The following is a 2,953-nucleotide window of genomic DNA, read 5'->3' on the forward strand; positions in this document are numbered from 1 at the left end:
CTGATTAGCAAAGGTGTGGACAGGATCCCATCTTGCTGGGGGTGTTGGGATCAGGCAGAACCTATGGCACATATGCATGGGAGTTGGGTAGGGAAAACCTGTTCACCCCGTGGCTTTATGTTGGTCACCAGTGTGGAAGGTGAAGGTTCAGTAGACAAAAAACATAACTGATAAAAAGTTGCTTAATGTGAAAATTAGTTACTAAAGTGACTTAAGTCCTCTCAAAAACAGGTTGATGCATTCCATTTTATTTATTTATTTATTTATTTATTTATTTATTTATTTATTTATTTAGAGATGGAGTCTCGCTCTGTCGTCCAGGCTGGAGTGCAGTGGCATGATCTTGGCTCACCGCAACCTCTGCCTCCCGGGTTCACGCCTTTCTTCTGCCTCAACCTCCCGAGTAGCTGGGACTGCAGGCACCCGCCACCACGGCTGGCTAATTTTTTGTATTTTTAGTAGAGACGGCGTTTCGCTGTGTTCGCCAGGATGGTCTCAATCTCCTGACCTCATGATCCGCCCGCCTCGGCCTCCCAAAGTGCTGGGATTACAGGCGTGAGCCACCGCGCCCAGCTGATGTGGTCCAATTCTTAACCAAAGGAATGGGTAGACCAGAAATACGGTTTGCCACTGTCCTCTGGAGTGTGTTTTCTTTGACTTCGTGGAGTTGTTTCTTTAAGTATGAACAAGTCAAATAACCAGGTTAGAGGGAAAAAAAATGGCACCCACCATGGGAATGTGGACGAGGTGATGAATTTATTGAAAGTAGCAACATTTACCTTACGGAAAAAAATAAATGCTTGGAATATTTCCTTCATGTAAATTTGGATTGTGATGAAAAATTTACGTACGAAATAGGGTGTATTCTCTACTGCATGATGGCTGATGCTCCATGTCCTTACTACAGGTTATGAGATTGTCACATTGATGTGTTATCCTGATTCTATTAGATTTGAAGAGCTGTAGGAGTTTGGCGGAAGTATTTTATGGAAATGCATAGGTACCAGTAATCATGAAAAGGGTTACTGTAGAATGACAAAGAAAAATTGGGCAGTTTTTTCGGTTGCTTGGTGCAGTCCTCCATACCCTCGGCAGCTGTCGCTAGCGTGGATAGTTTAAGTGTGGGGTTGCTTTGCTTCCCTTAGAGAACATAAATTATGCCTATATTCCTAATATTAAATGAGTCAATACAAATCCATTAAATGGACTACATCACTCTTGGGTTCCTCAAATAAGTGACTTTTGGCTGCTATCCACTTTTAGGTGATAGGGCAAATTATGAAGAAACCAGGTTTTTCTCCGGAACCAAAATTTTTTTTAAAAAGTTCAGAAAGAGACTGAGAAGGATAATTCCAGGTTTTCTTTAGTTCATTGAAATTCACCCCTTTGTTATCACCTTCTGAACATTTGAGTTGGGAAGGGAGATAGGGATGTGCGACTTCAGATTCAGAGTCAAACCCAAGAGTCAACCGCCTCCCTGAATCCCTACGAAAATGGGTGGTTTCACTCAAAATAAAGGATTTTAGTTTCACTAACATAAAGATGAAGGAGGGTACGAAGTTGGGGGTTTTTTGGTACTTAAATTAAGACTTTGTTTATCTTAGATTTATAAATAAGAATAACTTATTTGTCTGTTCTTCTGTTACACTGAAATTGTGTTGGTTTAGCGAATAGTAACATGATATTCTCTTGCTCAGCTAAATTTATGAGTCTTAATCCTGGCAAAGTTTGATGGTAAACTGCAGAGTTCAGAAAGATAGTTTTGATATATATACTTTTGTAAATTATGAGAAAAACACAAAGGGTTCTATCTCACGTACCTATATTTTTCTTTTTATGAGACATTAATTATATGCTAAGTCCACTACTTTTAGGAACTTTCATTTGTAAATTAGAAAACTACAAAAAGACATATTATTCTTTATATGTCCCAAATAATCACAGAACTCTATTCACAGGCTTACCTATGAAAGCTTGAAATTTCTGAATCATTTAGGAAGCATTTTCTTTAAGTACTGCGGGGAGAACAAAGCTTGCTTTAAAGAGAGTCCTTTAAAGAATGGAATGGAATGAGCTTCAGCAGACAATGCTTTGTCTTTTTTATTGACAGCTTTTGGCTACTTTATGTCTTTCTGTTTGCTCACATCAACCTTGTTATTTTTACATTACAAGAAAGCAAACGGCTGCAAATCTTTCTGCAGACAAGTCAATAGGTTTTGTTCTTTCTGGTTTTACCTTCAGAGCCATTCACATGGAGACAGGCTTGTAGCCAAAGGGCCCGGGGTGATTGGTGCGAGGAGGAGTTTCTGGTTGCAACGAACAAGGCTCCCCCTACACCAGCATTCTATCTCTCGGCCCCAAGTTCAGCTGCAGCAGATAATTTTACGATTTGTTGCCCCAAACCTCTGGACAAGTTTAAGTTCTGATGGGAAACTGCAGCCAGAGATGCACAGGGAGAACTTAGCTTGGGGAAAATTGACCTTAAGTGCATGTGCCTGTGCCTGGTGGCCTAGAGAGCTGTTCATGCACACTGCTGCCTTGGCGAGGGGGGGCTGGTTTCCTGGCACGCAGCCTTTCCTCTTTCGTGGATGGCTCTCCCATGTGCCTTTCTCTTCAGGCACTCGAAGGGAGGGAAGGACATGATCTTTTTTGCATACCTACCTGACATACCTACTGTGTAGATGCTACCCATTTATTCTCACTAGAACTCTTACTGGAGCTTGCTATCACTTGCAATTTAGAGAAGCAACCAGAAGCTTATTAAGGTGAGGCACTGCCCAGGGTCATGGGGTCTGCAAAGGGAGAGGCAGGAAAAGAGCATGGGTCTCTGAGAAACCAGAGTTCTTTTCACTGTGCCTGAGGACTCCCAGAGATGTTTTTCTTCACCAGAAATATGTTGGTGTCACGAATAGAACAGCCTCCTTTTCCCTCCTCTTCAGTCCTATGCCTTGCC

At 41.7% G+C, this 2,953-nt stretch overlaps 1 annotated feature.

The window, feature by feature from the left end:
• Positions 1,800–2,669: an enhancer, noted in NCBI's record as "OCT4-NANOG-H3K4me1 hESC enhancer chr2:4293747-4294616 (GRCh37/hg19 assembly coordinates)". NCBI's record gives its function as "activates a minimal SCP1, AML or CMV promoter by ChIP-STARR-seq in naive H9 embryonic stem cells {active_cell/tissue: H9 hESC(naive)}" and the evidence as "EXISTENCE:reporter gene assay evidence [ECO:0000049][PMID:30033119]".

This window comes from Homo sapiens, chromosome 2 (assembly GCF_000001405.40).
Source record: "Homo sapiens chromosome 2, GRCh38.p14 Primary Assembly".
Lineage (NCBI taxonomy): Eukaryota > Metazoa > Chordata > Mammalia > Primates > Hominidae > Homo > Homo sapiens.